The 14,920-nt window shown below is 49.2% G+C and overlaps 1 pseudogene, besides 2 other annotated features; it reads left to right on the top strand.

The window, feature by feature from the left end:
* Positions 5,951-6,000: an enhancer, noted in NCBI's record as "active region_11882". NCBI's record gives its function as "activates an Ori minimal core promoter by ATAC-STARR-seq in GM12878 lymphoblastoid cells {active_cell/tissue: GM12878}" and the evidence as "EXISTENCE:reporter gene assay evidence [ECO:0000049][PMID:35858748]".
* Positions 11,203-11,772: an enhancer, noted in NCBI's record as "H3K4me1 hESC enhancer chr17:21166079-21166648 (GRCh37/hg19 assembly coordinates)". NCBI's record gives its function as "activates a minimal SCP1, AML or CMV promoter by ChIP-STARR-seq in naive H9 embryonic stem cells {active_cell/tissue: H9 hESC(naive)}" and the evidence as "EXISTENCE:reporter gene assay evidence [ECO:0000049][PMID:30033119]".
* On the top strand, positions 14,038-14,571 carry EIF1P5 (eukaryotic translation initiation factor 1 pseudogene 5; annotated as a pseudogene).

The raw sequence follows: 14,920 nt of genomic DNA, 5'->3' as shown, positions 1-14,920 counted from the left end.
TCTCCCTTCTGCCAGCTGGTCTCTGCCCTGTTTGAGCTGGGAAAGTTTGCTGAAGGCTGCAGCCTGTTCTGAGTTGGATGGTAGAAATGTAGGAAATACACCAACACATCGGCCATGATTATTTCTGGACACTGAAATTACAAAGATGGTTTTGTTTTTGTTTTTTCTTTACACCCTTTCTGTCAAACATTTCTGCAAAAAGTGTGTATTATTTTCAGGATATATTAAATGTATAGTATTTTAATGTTAAGGCAATCAATATAATTGTTAATATAATATTTTAATATAAATAAACAAAATGTCACAATTATTTCAACTCTGCCTGTTCGTTACAGCTCAAATCCTGTCTCTTCCATGCAGCCTTCCAGGATTACCCAAATTGAGGTCCTCATGGGAAGCCAGAGCCAGGAGGAACATGTCACCATCTAGTGACCTGAGACCCCAGACTCAAATATTGTCAGGGGCTAGGGTGGGTGCAGTGGCTTGGGGGTAGTGCAGGGGGTCCTATCAAATGTGCCCTGATTCTAATCCTGCCCCCACTGTTTTACAGGGACAGAGAATACAGTGGATCTAGGATTTGACTTTGAGCTGCCTGCACAGCCCCTGTCCCCTCATGGGTTCCAGCAGATATGTGTTGAGAAAGGAATGATGACCAGGGTTGGGGGAAGTCACAAAATCCCCTCTTTGTTTATCTCCTGCTGTGTCACAAACCACCCTAAACTCAGGGGTATGAAATAGCTGGCACAGTAGGGATGGCCTGTCCCTGTGCTGTAACGTCCCAGCCTCGGCTGGATTCATGTGCAGTTTCCTTCACCTGCATATTTACCTCCTCCTCACCCGGGCCAGGAGGACTCTGGCCCTGCCTGATTGGACTGGAGCACTTCCATCCAGCCTCTGCCTATGACTTCCTCATAGCATGGCAACAGGCACGGAGCATGAGTGTCCCAAGAGAACCAGATGAAGCTGCATGGCCTGATGTAGCTTAGACAGCCTCCCAGCATCACTTCTGCCTCACTCTGTGGGTTGAAGTAGCCCATTTAGATATAAGGGAGGAGACACAGACCCCGCCTCTCAATGAAGGAATGACAGAGAATTTGCAGCCATTCTCTAAAACCTCCACACTCCTGGAATTTAATGTGAACCGTGACTATTCACGGGGCCACCTGCCACACTTCCCAGTCTGTCAGCACGTTTCCTAGAGCAGGGCCCCTGGCGGAGGCTTCCTCCTCCAGTGGGGAGGGGACGGGACCTGAGAAAGATTCTGAGGCTGTGGTGGCAGGTAGGCAGTAGAAGGAGGCTGAGGGAGGAGGCCAGGGTGATGGAGAGGCTTGGAGCCTCCTCCAGATTAGGGTTGGGGAGCCTGCCAATCACACAGATAAAACCAGGCGGGGCAGTGGGTGTGGGAAGAGGAGATAGAGCTTGATGGAGAAATGTGGAGTTGATAGGCTGATGACCACGTCATCTTTCTAGGCCACATGCCAGCACCACCTCTCCAGGGCAGCCTTCCCCGATGCTTCAGGTGGAACTACCACTGGCTCCTCTGGGTTCCTGCAAACCCTGTACTGACCTCAAGCCTGCAGGCCCAGGCCAGATGTATCTTTGGATTCCTAGTGTCATTCAGAGCAAGAGAAAGGCACCTGCAGGCCTCGGGGCCTCCCTCAGTTGGAAGCTCCCGGCCGCCTTGGCCAGTCTCCCTTGGCCAATCTCCCTCAGGGGCTGCTGTGAGCCTCCGGATGGAGTTCTGGTTCTTACTAACTGCTTGGGTGGGGAAGCTGGTGCAGGAAGCAGCCCTGCACGGAACAAGGTTCAGAGATGGAGCCACATGAGCTTGAATGGAGAAGGAAACAGGATTTCAAGGGTGAGTGGGAATGGCAGGGCCTCCTGGAGGACCTTTGTGATGATTGGTGAGGGCACACACACAGCATGTGTGCTCCCAGAACTACGGGCCAGATTGGGGCCCATCCCACTGAAGGGACACAGACCATGGATTCAGTTTGGCCCAGCAGTCAGGCACTCAGGCTGAGGAAATAGTGTGCCCAGGTTCAAATCCTGCTCTGCCACTAATTTATTGAGTGAGTCACTAGGTCTCTTTAAGCCTCAGTTTCCTGGTCTGTAAAAGGGGACAATAACACAATAACAGCCACCTCCCTGGAGTGAGATCATTTATGCAGTCTCGTGCTTCATACCTGCTGGGTGCTCAACAGTCCCTGCTTGCCTCTGGCTGCTCTCCCGCTTGGGCAGGCAGCAGGAGAGGTGGATGAGGGTTTGCTGAGTGAGAATGTGAGCAAGTGATGACATGAGAGCCAGAGACCCTGCAATCGTATCTCAATGCGAACCTTCTGGGCCGTGGGACTCTCAGCAACCGCAACCAGATGGCCTCTTTGAGCCTCTGTTGTCTCATCTGGCAAATGGGAATCAGAACCTAGACCCGGGTGCTATGGTGTGGCTCTAATGAATGGGAGATGTCTGCAGGCACCCAGCACACTGGGCTGTGGGTGCAGGCCAGGTGATGGGGAGGGCTATGATGTTGTCTCTCCGACAGGTCCAGGAGGGGGAGGCCACCTCCCACGCCTCCCCTCCCATGAGCAGTGCGGCCAAGCAGCCTAAGCCAGCTGGCTGGTTTTGATAAATGAGTATTATAAACACCAAACAACACACAAAGGGCATCCCAGTGCTCTGGTGGAAGCTGGGGCTCCTGCGGGGGGTCCTGCTGGAGGGGACCCAACTGGTAGGTATGGGGCACCAAAGAAGCTCCGTGAGCAGGTGCTCCTGGCAGTTCTGGGCTGGGAGACACATCATCGTATCCACAATGACAAAATGAAGTGATAAATAATAGTAGTAATCATAATAATGATAAGAGCACCCACTATTGGGTGTTGATGATGTCATTTAATGCTCCAAACAACCCTGAGAGAAGATCTTGGCAGAATACTTCTCAGAGGCTTGCACCCAGAGCATGCAAACAACTCCTACAACTCAATAGTAAGAGAAGAACACAATGAAAAATGTGCTATGGCCGGGCGCAGTGGCTCACTCCCAGCACTTTGGGAGGCTGAGGCAGGTGGATCATGAGGTCAGGAGTTCAAGACCAGCCTGGCCAACATGGTGAAACCCTGTCTCTACTAAAAATACAAAAATTAGCCAGGCATGGTGGCGCACACCTGTAGTCTCAGCTACTCAGGAGGCTGAGGCAGGAGAATCGCTTGAACCCAGGAGGCGGAGGTTGCAGTGAGTGGAGATCACGCCACTGCACTCCAGCCTGGGTGACAGAGTGAAACTCCATCTCAAAAAAAAAAAAAGAAAAGAAAAAGAAAAAGAAAAAAGATAAACATAAACGTGCTGAAGATCTGAACAGACACCTCCCCAGGAAAGACATGTGGATGGCAAATAAGCACATGGAAAGAGACTCAACCTGGGAGTCATCAGCAGAGTGCAGTTAAAACCAAAATGAAATAACTACACACCTATTACAAAGGTGAAAATTAAAATGACTGAAAAACGTGCTAAAGATCTGAACAGACACCTCCCCAAGGAAGACATATGGATGGGGAGTCTCTTTCCATGTGCTTATTTGGAAAGTGACTCAACCCTGGGAGTCATCAGAGGGATGCAGTTAAAACCACAATGAAACCACTACACACCTATTAGAAAGGTGAAAATTAAAATGACTGACACAGCCTGGGCAACATAGCAAGACCCAATCTCTACAAAAAATAAAAAATTCGCTGAGTGTAAAGGCCGGGCGCGGTGGCTAATGCCTGTAATCCCAGCACTTTGGGAGGCCGAGGCGGGCGGATCACCTGAGGTCAGGAGTTTGAGACTAGCCTGGCCAACATAGTGAAACCCCGTCTCTACTAAAAATACAAAAATTAGCAGGGCATGGCGGCAGGCGCCTGTAATCCCAGCTACTCGGAGGCTGAGGCAGAAGAATCGCTTGAACCCGGGAGGCGGAGGTTGCAGTGAGCCAAGATCGCGCCGTTGTACTCCAGCCTGGGCGACAGAGCAAGATTTCGTCTCAAAAAAAAAAAAATTAGCTGGGTGTGATGGCACCAACATGTGGTCCCAGCTGTTCGGGAGGCTGAGGCAGGAGGATCACTTGAGCCTGGGATTTCAAGGCTGCAGTGAGCCATAATCATGCCACTACCCTCCAGCCTGAGTGACAGAGCAAGACCCTCTCTCAAAAATAAATAAACAAAGAATTTAAAAAAATTTAAAAAAAGATAATTCCAGGCCGGGCACGGTGGCTCACGCCTGTAATCCCAGCACTTTGGGTGGATCACGAGATCAGGAGTTCGAGACCAGCCTGACCAACATGGTGAAACCCCGTCTCTACTAAAAACGCAAAAATTAGCCGGGCGTGGGGGTGCGCACCTGTAATCCCAGCTACTCAGCAGGCTGAGGCAGGAGAATCGCTTGAACCCAGGAGGCAGAGGTTGCAGTGAGCCGAGATCGCGCCATTGCACTCCAGCCTGGGTGACAGAGTGAGACTCTGTCTCAAAAAAAAAAAGATAATTGCAAGTATTGGTGAGGATGTGCAGAAACTGGAACTCTCATACATTGCTGTGGGAATGTGAAATGGTAGGATCACTTTGGAAAACAGTTTGGCAGTTTCTTATAAAGTTAAATACACCTACTTAGGACTCAGCTATTTCACTTCCAAGAGAAATAACTGTGTTTACACACACACACAAACCTGAACACAAAGGTTAGTAACAGCTTTTTCCATAATAGATAAAACCTAGCAAGAACTCAGCTGTCTATGAACTTGGAAAGGGATAAACAAAACATGGTATATATCCATCAATGCAATACTACTCGGTGACAGGAAAGGAATGCACTCCCAAAACATGCCACAGTGCAGATGGAGCTCAGATGCATTCCGCCGGAAAAAAAAAGCCAGATTCAAAAGGCTACCTACAATACGATTCCATTCACAGGACGTTCTGGAAAAAGCAAAACCACAGTGGCACAGAGCCATCAGTAGTGGCAAGGGACTGGGGTGGGGAGGGGATCAACTGCAAAGGGGCCCGAAGGAAACTTGGGAGTGAAGGAAATGTTGTGTATGATGATTGTAGTGGTGGTTACACAACCGTATACATGTGTCAAACATCATCAAACCATGCGCTTAAATGGCTGCATTTTATTGTATGTAATTATCCTTCATTAAAGCTGAGGGAGGAGCAGAGAAGTCCTTTCAATGAAGGGAAAAAACGGTGAGCATTTGGGGCCATTACTGCCATGTTACACACAAGAAAACTAAGGCTCAGGGGGTGACATGATGGGCCCAAGGTCAAGGAGAGAGAGAGTCTGTGGTGAGACCGGGATTTGCCTGCACTCTCGCCCTCAGGACTCTGCCCTGCATTTGCTGTATGATTACAGGCTGGTCTCAGTTTCCCATTCTTTAAAATGGGTAGGGGGATGAGCAAAACCCAGGCCCTCTCAGGCGATGGAGCAAGAAAACCCACACCCACATAATGGTGGCACTCAGAGGGACTGCGGGAGCCACTGGGTGGTGACTGACCCAACCTGGGCTGAGGATGGGGGAAAGCTCCTCAGAGTGACGATATTTAACCTGGGCTTCAGAAGATGAATAGGAGTTTGCCAATTGGAGTGTAGGAAAAAGGACATTCCAGACAAGGGGTGAGAATGTCCCATATATCTCCCCAGTCGCTCTGCCTCTTGCTGCCTGAAATTCCACTAGTTTATGCCATCCCTCAGGGCCAAAGCCTGGCTAGTGGCAAACCCTGACAGGAAGAGACACGCAGAAACCTATACAGAGGCTGGAGGGAAATAGCAGCAAGGCAGGGCGGGGGCCATGGCAATTGCTGGAGATTCTGAGATTCCAGGGACTGCAGGGACAGAGGAATATGTGACAGAATTGATCGTGTGCAGGGCAGCAGGGCAGGAGCCTTCTCATGGGTCACCTCATTAACTCCTCACCCCTGGAGCAGCACAGAGAGGTCAGATGAATCACCCAAGGTCACACAGCAAAACTGGGGGCCAGGCCGGGCCTGCTGATCCAAAGCCATTGCCCTTGATCTAGGGATCGGAGGAAGGTGGGGGCCTAGGGACCAGTTTCCCACCCCAACTCAATGTGTGACTCAGGCAAGTAACTTCTGCTCTCAGGCCCTCAGCTTCCACCTCTGTGAAATGGGCTGTAACAGAACCACCCTCACAGAGCTCTGGCAGGAAGAGAAAAGACAAAGGGACAGGAAGTGTCACCTCAGCCTCTCCTGCCCAAACAGCTGCTTGCATGCGGTGTGAGGAAAACAGAATTAGGGAGGGAAGTCCGCTCTGAGAAGAGACCCTCCCTCCACCTCTGGGCCTCAGTTTTCCCATCTTGCATTGAGGGAGGATTGGGCTGAATGACATGTCACAAACCAGGGGCCATTTCTAGCACCCATATGTTTTGTTTCACCCCTGTGGTCACTTTTTCCCCCCTTTCCTCTGAATTTTTATTATGTAAAATTTAAGCACACAGGAAGTCAAAAGCAGAATCCACAGCTGCCATCTGGTGCGACCTGCCCGGTGCTGACAGCTCTGCCCACGTGCACACTCCCCTCTCTACACATAGCTATGTGCTGTTTTCGGAATCTTTTTTTTTCTTTTTTTTTTTGAGATGGGGTCTCGCTCTGTCGCCCAGGCTGGAGTGCAGTGGCATGATCTCGGCTCACTGCAAGCGCCGCCTCCCAAGTTCACGCTATTCTCCTGCCTCAGTCTCCCCAGTAGCTGGGACTACAGGCGTCCGCCACCATGCCCAGCTAATTTTTTGTATTTTTAGTAGAGACGGGATTTCACTGTGTTAGCCAGGATGGTCTCAATCTCCTGACCTCGTGATCGGCCCGCCTCAGCCTCCCAAAGTGCTGGGATTACAGGTGTGAGGTACCACACCTGGCCCTGAATCATTTGAAAGTAAGTTACTGGCCAGAAGCAGTGGTTCACGTATGTAATCCCAATGCTTTAGGAGGCCAAGGCAGGAGGATCACTTGAGGCCAGAAGTTCGAAACCAGCCTGGGCAACATAGCAAGGCCTCCTCTGACTCCTCGATCTTTATCTAAAAATCATTTAAACAAAAAAAAGAAAGTAAGTTTTTGACTTTGTGACCTTTTGCCCCTAGTCCATCAGCATGCACTCCCTGAGAAGGCGGCCGTTCTACAAGACCATGATACGCTTACCTCACTGCAAAAAACACTGTAATTCCACAGATATCTAACACACAGTCCACATTCAAGTTACCCAGTTGTCCCCAAAATGTCTTTTATGGCTGGACTTTTTGTTTCAAACTAAGAGCTAGCCAAGATTCAGATGTTACATTTAGTTTTATCTCTTTCAGAGTGAGCAATTTGCTCTTTTTTTTTTTTTTTTCCCTTCAGAGAGAGTCTTGCTCTGTCGCCCAGACTGGAGCGCAGTGGAGCGATCTTGGCTCACTGCAACCTTCCCCTCCCGGGTTCAAGTGATTCTCCTGCCTCAGCCTCCCAAGTAGCAGGGACTACAGGCGCCTGCCACCATGCCCAACTAATTTTTGCATTTTTAGTAGAGATGAAGTTTCACCATATTGGCCAAGCCGGTCTCGAACTCCTGACCTTGTGATCCACCCGCCTCAGCCTCCCAAAGTGCTGGGATTACAGGCATAAGCCACCGCACCCAGCCTGAGCAATTTTCTTATTTTGAAAAAATTAACACCTCCAAACAAACAGCCAGAATCGTGGGTGAATCTGTACATGGCCTTTGCCTGGACCTAGCAAGGGTTTCCCATTTGCCAGAGTACCCCTCTCCCTCCCTGTCTCTCTGCCTCTCTCTCTCTCTCACTCTCCCGACCATCTAAGTTAGCAGCAGACACACCTACCTGTGTTTTAAAATCAGTTGGCATTTATTTATTTGTTTGTTTACTTATTATTTATTTATTTATTTTTTAAGACAGAGTCTTGCTCTGTCACCCAGGCTGGATTGGAGTGGTGCCATCTCTGCTTACTGCAACCTACGCCTCCCGGGTTTAAGTGATTCTTGTGCCTCAGCCCCCTGAATAGCTGGGACTACAGGCATATGCCATCATGCCCAGCTATTTTTTGTACTTTTAGAAGAGACGGGGTTTTGCCATGGTTTGGCCAGGTTGGTCTCAAACTCCTGGCCTCAAGTGATCCCCTCTGCCTCGGGTTCCCAAAGTGCTGGGATTACAGGTGTGAGCCACCTCGCCCAGCCTATTTATTTTTGAAACAGCGTCTCACTCTGTTGCCCAGGCTGGAGTGCAAAGACTTAATCTGCTCACTGCATCCTCAACCACCCAAACTCAAATGATCTTCTTACCTTGGCTTCCCATCCCAGCTAATTTTTGTATTTTTTGTAGAGGCGGGGTCTCACTATGTTGCCCAGGCTGGTCTCAAACTCCTGAGCTCAAGTTATCCGCCCACCTTGCCCCCCCAAAGTGCTGGGATTATAGGCATGAGCCATCACACTCAGCCAAAATTAACTGCCATTTAAACATCAAGAAGTCTCACATTTTTATTCGATTTCCAGCTCCTGTTGAAAAGCAGAAGACTTAGCCCAGGGCTCCCTTGTGGAACAACTTGCTGGAAGGAGCAGAAGCTGCCCCTGGGACAGACCAGGTGGTCCCACTTTGCCACACTCCACACTGCTCCCTCTGTCTGACACCCAGCCATTTCTTGCAATCCTGTAACCTGCCTGGGTCCTGCACCATGGAATTTTTTACCCTCAATTAATTCCACATAATCTTTTTTTTTTTTTTTTTTGAGATGGAGTTCTGTTCTTTTGGCCCAGGCTGGAGTGCAATGGCGCATCTCGGCTCACTGCATCCTCCACCTCCTGGGTTCAAGCGATTCTCCTGCCTCAGCCTCCCTAGCAGCTGGAATTACAGGTGCCCACCACCACGCCCGGCTAATTTTGTATTTTTTAGTAGAGACGCGGTTTCACCATGTTGGCCAGGCTGGTCTCGAACTCCTGACCTCAGGTGATCCGCCCACCTCGGCCTCCAAAGTGCTGGGATTACAGGCATGAGCCACCGTGCTCAGCCAATTCCAGAGAATCGTTAAGAGCCTCAGGTCTCTTCAGGGTGGGGGAGGCACCTTATCCTGGGGAGGCAACTGCCCATCAGTGCCAGTGGCTTCACAATGCATTGACTTTGTAGCCACTTGTTCTCTGCTCAGGAGATCAGACTCCAGACTTACCCCAACTGGGGTTCAGATCCAAATTCCAAGAGCTACCACCAAGGAGACTTTTGGAAAGTTCTCAGGCTCCTCAGAGCCCAGTCCCTTCATGAGTGCAACTCCTGCTTCCGAGGGTGGGTGTGAGGACTGGATGAAAGAATTCCCAGGAAGCACTTAGCATGGCACCTGGCCTAGGAGGAGCCCTCGGGTCTCATTTTCCTGAGAAGACAATCAGGTGGGTGGGCGGAAACAAGTACTAACACACTCATCCATCGCAATGCAGTGAAACACTGGAAATTATCAAAATCCCAACAAGAGGGAACTGGATAGATCATGAACATATCCCTGAGATGAAAGAATCAACAACTGAGACAAAGATGCTGTATTTTGAAATTACCCAGATAGCCATCGGTAAAGGACTGCTGTATCCAGGAGAATGGTTAGGATCTTTCAGCTGTGAGTGCCATGTCCCTCCACTCCGTGGACCGCTGTGCTATAGGGAGAGACAGACGGGTCTCCAGGAGAGACTGCTAAGTGATATGCCAACTTGTGGGTTAAAAGTGGGGGGGAAGAATATATATTTGTATTCACTTGTATTTATGTGTGGAAAACACTGGAAGAATTCATGAGAAACAAGTAAAAATGCTTCCCTGTGTGAAGTGGAGGAGCTCTGGGCAGAAGGCAGATGGCAGACAAAGGCAGTGGGTAGATTTTTTCTTGGTACCCACATACACTTCATTTTAGTTTTTGAAACATGAATATATTACCTAATCAAAATTATCTTTTAAAATATTCTTTTTGGGGCCGGGCGTGGTGGCTCACGCCTGTAATCCCAGCACTTTGGGAGGCCAAGGTGGGCAGATCACCTGAGGTCAGGAGTTCGAGACCAGCCTCAACATGGAGAAACCCCATCTCTACTAAAAATACAAAATTAGCTCGTCATGCTGGTGCATGCCTGTAATCCCATCTATTCAGGAGGCTGAGGTAGGAGAATTGCTTGAACCTGGGAGGCGGAGGTTGCGGTGAGCTGAGATTGCACCATTGCACTCCAGCCTGGGCAACAAGAGCGAAACTCCATCTCAAAATAAAAAAATAATAAATAAATAAATAAATAAATAAATAAATAAAATATTCTTTTTTTTTTTTTTTTTTTTTTTTTTTTTGTAGAGATGTTTCCCAGGCTGGTCTCAAACTCCTGGCCTCAAGCGATCCTCCTGCCACAGCAGGAAGTGCTGGGATTACAGGTGTGAGCCAGCCCACTCAGCCTAAAAATATTCTTATAGAATAATTCTGTGGTTTCCTATATATTAACAAAGGAAAATGATCACAGCATATTGTTAAATTGAAAATAAAAAACAAGCTATAAAACAGATAATCTGATTTGATTACAATTTTGTTGGAAAACTTTTTTTTTTTTTTTGAGATAGGGGCTCCCTCTGTTCCCCCAGGCTGGAGTACAGTGGTGCGATCTGGGCTCACTGCAACCCCTGCCTCCCGGGCTAAAGCGATCTTCCCACCTCAGCCTCCCAAGAAGCTGGTGCACACCACCATGCTTGGCTAGTTTTTGTATTTTTGGTAGAGATGAGATTTCACCATGATGCCCAGGCTAGTCTTGAACTCCTGGACTCAAGCAATCCACCTACCTCGGCCTCCCAAAGTGCTGGGATTTCAGGCATGAGCCACCGCACCCAGCCTTGTTGGAAAACGTTCTATTTGCACATAAAGAGCTCCATGTGTGCAGGGCTTTGTCTGTCTGTTCACGCTGTGTTCCCAGAATCCAGAACATACCTCAATTGCTCAATAAGCACCGTGTGAGTGAGCAAGTGCATGAGTCAATTAGTGAATGAATGAGTAAATGAGTACATGAATGGATGGTTACAGGATCAGGAAGATGTCTGAGGGCATGTGGCCAAACTGAACAGTGGTGGATTTATGACTTTTATCTTCTTGATATTTTTCTGTGTGTTCTGAAAATTTTAAACGAGCACTCCTCATGCTTCTAATCAGAAAAGAAAAACAGTAAAGGCAGGCCAGGCATGGTGGCTCATGCCTGTAATCCCAGCACTTTGGGAGGCCGAGGCAGGTGGATCACTTGAGGTCAGGAGTTTGAAACCATCCTGGCCAACATGGTGAAACTCCATCTCTACTAAAAATACAAACATTAGCCAGGTGTGGTGGCACGTGCCTGTGATCACAGCTACTCAGGAGGCTGAGGCAGGAGAATCGCTTGAACCTGGGAGGCGGAGGTTGCAGTGAGCCGAGACAGTGCCACTGTACTCCAACCTGGGCGACAAGAGCAAGACTCTGTCTCAAAAAAAAAAAAAAAGAAAGAAAGAAAAGAAAAACAATAAAGGTATGGAAAGAAAAAGCAAATGCTCTGTCTGCAGGTGTCAGGGCACTGGGGTCTGGGCAAGGGAAGGGAGTAGACTCACTAGGAAGAAGCTTGGGCTGGTGACCAGCACGCGTCCCACATGCCTTGCTCACACTATTCTGCCCCAGCAGCAGAGCCAAGATTCCCGGGGCGGGCAGCTCAGCAGCACAGAGAATCAGGGCTGCAGGAGCCCTGTGAAGGGAAGATGAGGCCCAGAGAAGGACTGTGACTGGCCTCAGGCCACACAGCAGGGCCAGGATGGAACCAGGCCTGCTCAGGTGTCAGCCTCCAACACCAGGACGCTTTGATACTTGTTGAAGTAATTCACACTTCTTACCTCTGGTTCACAGATGGGGAGTAGAGCTAGAGGCTCTGAAGACAGACTCAGCGTCTCATCCTAGACCGATCTGTCACTAAACTTTTGTTGGTGCTCCTCCCTCTCCTGCAAGGAGACAGTAGGATCTGGGCCAAGCCCAGGAGCTGCCTGCACATGCGGGGGTCCTCAGGCTGCAGTTGGCTGTTAGGATTCTGAGGTCAAGCTTGGCTGCCTCCCTGTAATCGGTTCCCTGGCCCCACAGTGGGGATCAGAAAATCTACAAATGTCCATAGAGCCCCTGGGGAGCCTTGTAGAGACAGCGCACTCCTGGAGACAGAACACGGAGGGGCTGGGTTTGAATCTGACTTTGCCACTTGCCAGCGTGTAACCCAAGGAAGTTACCTCCCCTCTCTGTAAAGTGAGGCTGAACTGAGCATAGCACCTTCTTCTGCACAGCACTGCTGTAAGAGGGAGGAACTCAGGGCCACAGGCTACGCGACTGCTGTCACTGCGTGTAGGGAGAGGATAGGGGTCCCCTGCTCTCCCCCTTCCCCTCCAGGGTTCATCCCCCACATGGAGGGCAGAGCGGTCTTCAAAACCAAGGCCAGTACATCATTCCCTGGAATCCCATGCAGCTGTGAAGGGACAGACTGCTGATCCGTGCAGCACCCAGGTGGTCATTCTTTTTTTTTTTTTTTATGTTTTATTATACTTTAACTTCTAGGGTACACGTGCACAACATGCAGGTTTGTTACATAGGTATACATATGCCATGTTGGTTTGCTGCGCCCATCAACTCGTCATTCTTTTTTCAAGGCAGGGTCTCACTCTGTCACCTAGGCTGCAGTTAAGTGGTGCAATCACTGCTCACTGTAGCCTCGACCTCCTGAGCTCAAGCAATCCTCCCACTTCAGCCTCCCAAGTTGCTGGGGCTACAGGCACATGCCATTACGCCTGGCTAAATTTTTTATTTTCATAGAGATGGAGTCTCACTAGGTTGCCCAGGCTGGTCTCAAACTCCTGGGCTCAAGCAATCTTCCTACTTCGGGCTCCCAAAGTGCTGGGATGATAAACTGTTTTATAACTTGGTAGTGGTCATGGTTAAATGACTAGATATGTTTGTCAAAACTTGCAGAGCATGCTGAAAGAAAGAATTTTTACTGCATATAAACAGTACATTAAATTTTTCTCTTTCTTTCTTTTTGAGACAGAGTCTCACTCTGTCACCCAGGCTGGAGTGCAGTGGCGCCATCTCAGGTCACTGCAGCCTCCACCTCCTGGGTTCAGGCAATTCTCCTACCTCAGCCTCCCAATTAGCTGGGACCACAGGTGCATGCCACCACACCCAGCTAATTTTTGTAATTTTAGTAGAGACAGGGTTTTGCCATGTTGGCCAGGCTGGTCTTGAATTCCTGGCCTCAAGTGATTGGCCCACTTCGGCCTCCCAAAGTGCTGAGATTATAGGCATGAGTCACCATGCCCAGCCATAAACAGTACATTTAATTTTTTTTAATGAAAAGAAAACCAAACTCCTCAGCCACGATACAGGTACATGGGCTTCATTTTCCTATTGTATATATTTACATATATCTTTGAAGTTTTCTAAAATTAGGGAAAAAAAAAAAACCAAAAACACTAAGATTGTTACTGGAAATGGGTCCCAAAGAGAGGGTTCTTGGATCTCACCCAAGAATGAATTCAGGGCAAGTCCACAGAGTAAAGTGAAAGCAAGTTTATTAAGAAAGTAAAGGAATAGGCCGGGCGCAGTGGCTCACACCTGTAATCCCAGCACTTTGGGAGGCCAAGGCGGGCGGATCACAAGGTCAAGAATTCGAGACCAGCCTGGCCAACATGGTGAAACCCCCATCTCTACTAAGAATACAAATATTAGACGTGATCAGCTTCCCAGGCAGGGCGGAAGGCCCAGGCATTCCCTGAGCCTGGGGAAGCCAGCTGTCCCGGACTGACCTGCTCCAGGAGAGCCAGCAAAGGACACATTCGGCCTGGCCCAAGCCCTGATGATTTCAGTGTTATTTTCTGCACGCACAAAACATCTAGGGGGGATGGCAGTGGCAGTGGCATCTGAGCTTTGCAAACTCCTGAGGTCTGGCAATCCGCCCGCCTCGGCCTCCCAAAGTGCTGGGATTACAGGCGTGAGCCACTGCGCCCGGCGCAGTTTAACCTTTCTTTTCAGACCCCTTTGCTGATGCAAGTAAGGCTGATGACCTGTTTCTTGCTAGCACTGAGGATTATATCCATATAAGAATTCAACAGAAAGGCCAGGCGCGGTGGCCCACGCCTGTAATCCCAGCACTTTGGGAGGCTGAGGCGGGCAGATCACGAGGTCAGAAGTTCGAGACCAGCCTGGCAAATATGGTGAAACCCCGTCTCTACTAAAAACACAAAAAATTAGCTGGGCGTAGTGATGGATACCTGTAATCCCAGCCACTCGGGAGGCTGAGGCAGGGGAATCGCTTGAACCCGGGAAGCAGAGGTTGCAGTAAGCTGAGATCGCGCCACTGCACTCCAGCCTGGACGACAGAGCTAGATTCTGCCTCAAAAATAAAAAATAAAAAAGAAGTTTGCCTGCAATGGTGCTGTAATTGAGCATCCGGAATATGGAGAAGTACTTCAGCTATAGGGTGACCAACACAAGAACATATGCCAGTTCCTCATAGAGACTGGACTGGCTAAGGACGATCAGCTGAAGGTTCATGGGTTTTAAGTGCTTGTGGCTCACTGAAGCTTAAGTGAGGATTTGCCTGCAATGAGTAAAATTTCCCTTCCGTCCCTTGTCACAAGTTTAAAAACCTCATAGCTTGTACAATGTAACCATTTGGGGTCCGGTTTTTAACTTGGACTAGTGTAACTCCTTCATGCAATATACTGAAAAGAGACATAAAAAAATACAAAAATTAGCTGGGCGTGGTGGCACGTGCCTGTAATCCCAGCCACTCAGAGGAGGCTGAAGCAGGAGAATCGCTTGAACCCGGGAGGCAAAGGCTGCAGTGAGCCGAGATCACGCCACTGCATTCCAGGCTGGGCGACAGAGCAAGACTCTGTCTCGAGAAA

This window comes from Homo sapiens, chromosome 17 (genome assembly GCF_000001405.40).
Source record: "Homo sapiens chromosome 17, GRCh38.p14 Primary Assembly".
NCBI classification, from domain to species: Eukaryota; Metazoa; Chordata; class Mammalia; order Primates; family Hominidae; genus Homo; species Homo sapiens.
The sequence above is the reverse complement of the archived record's forward strand: the minus strand, read 5'-3'. Positions and strand labels throughout refer to the sequence as shown.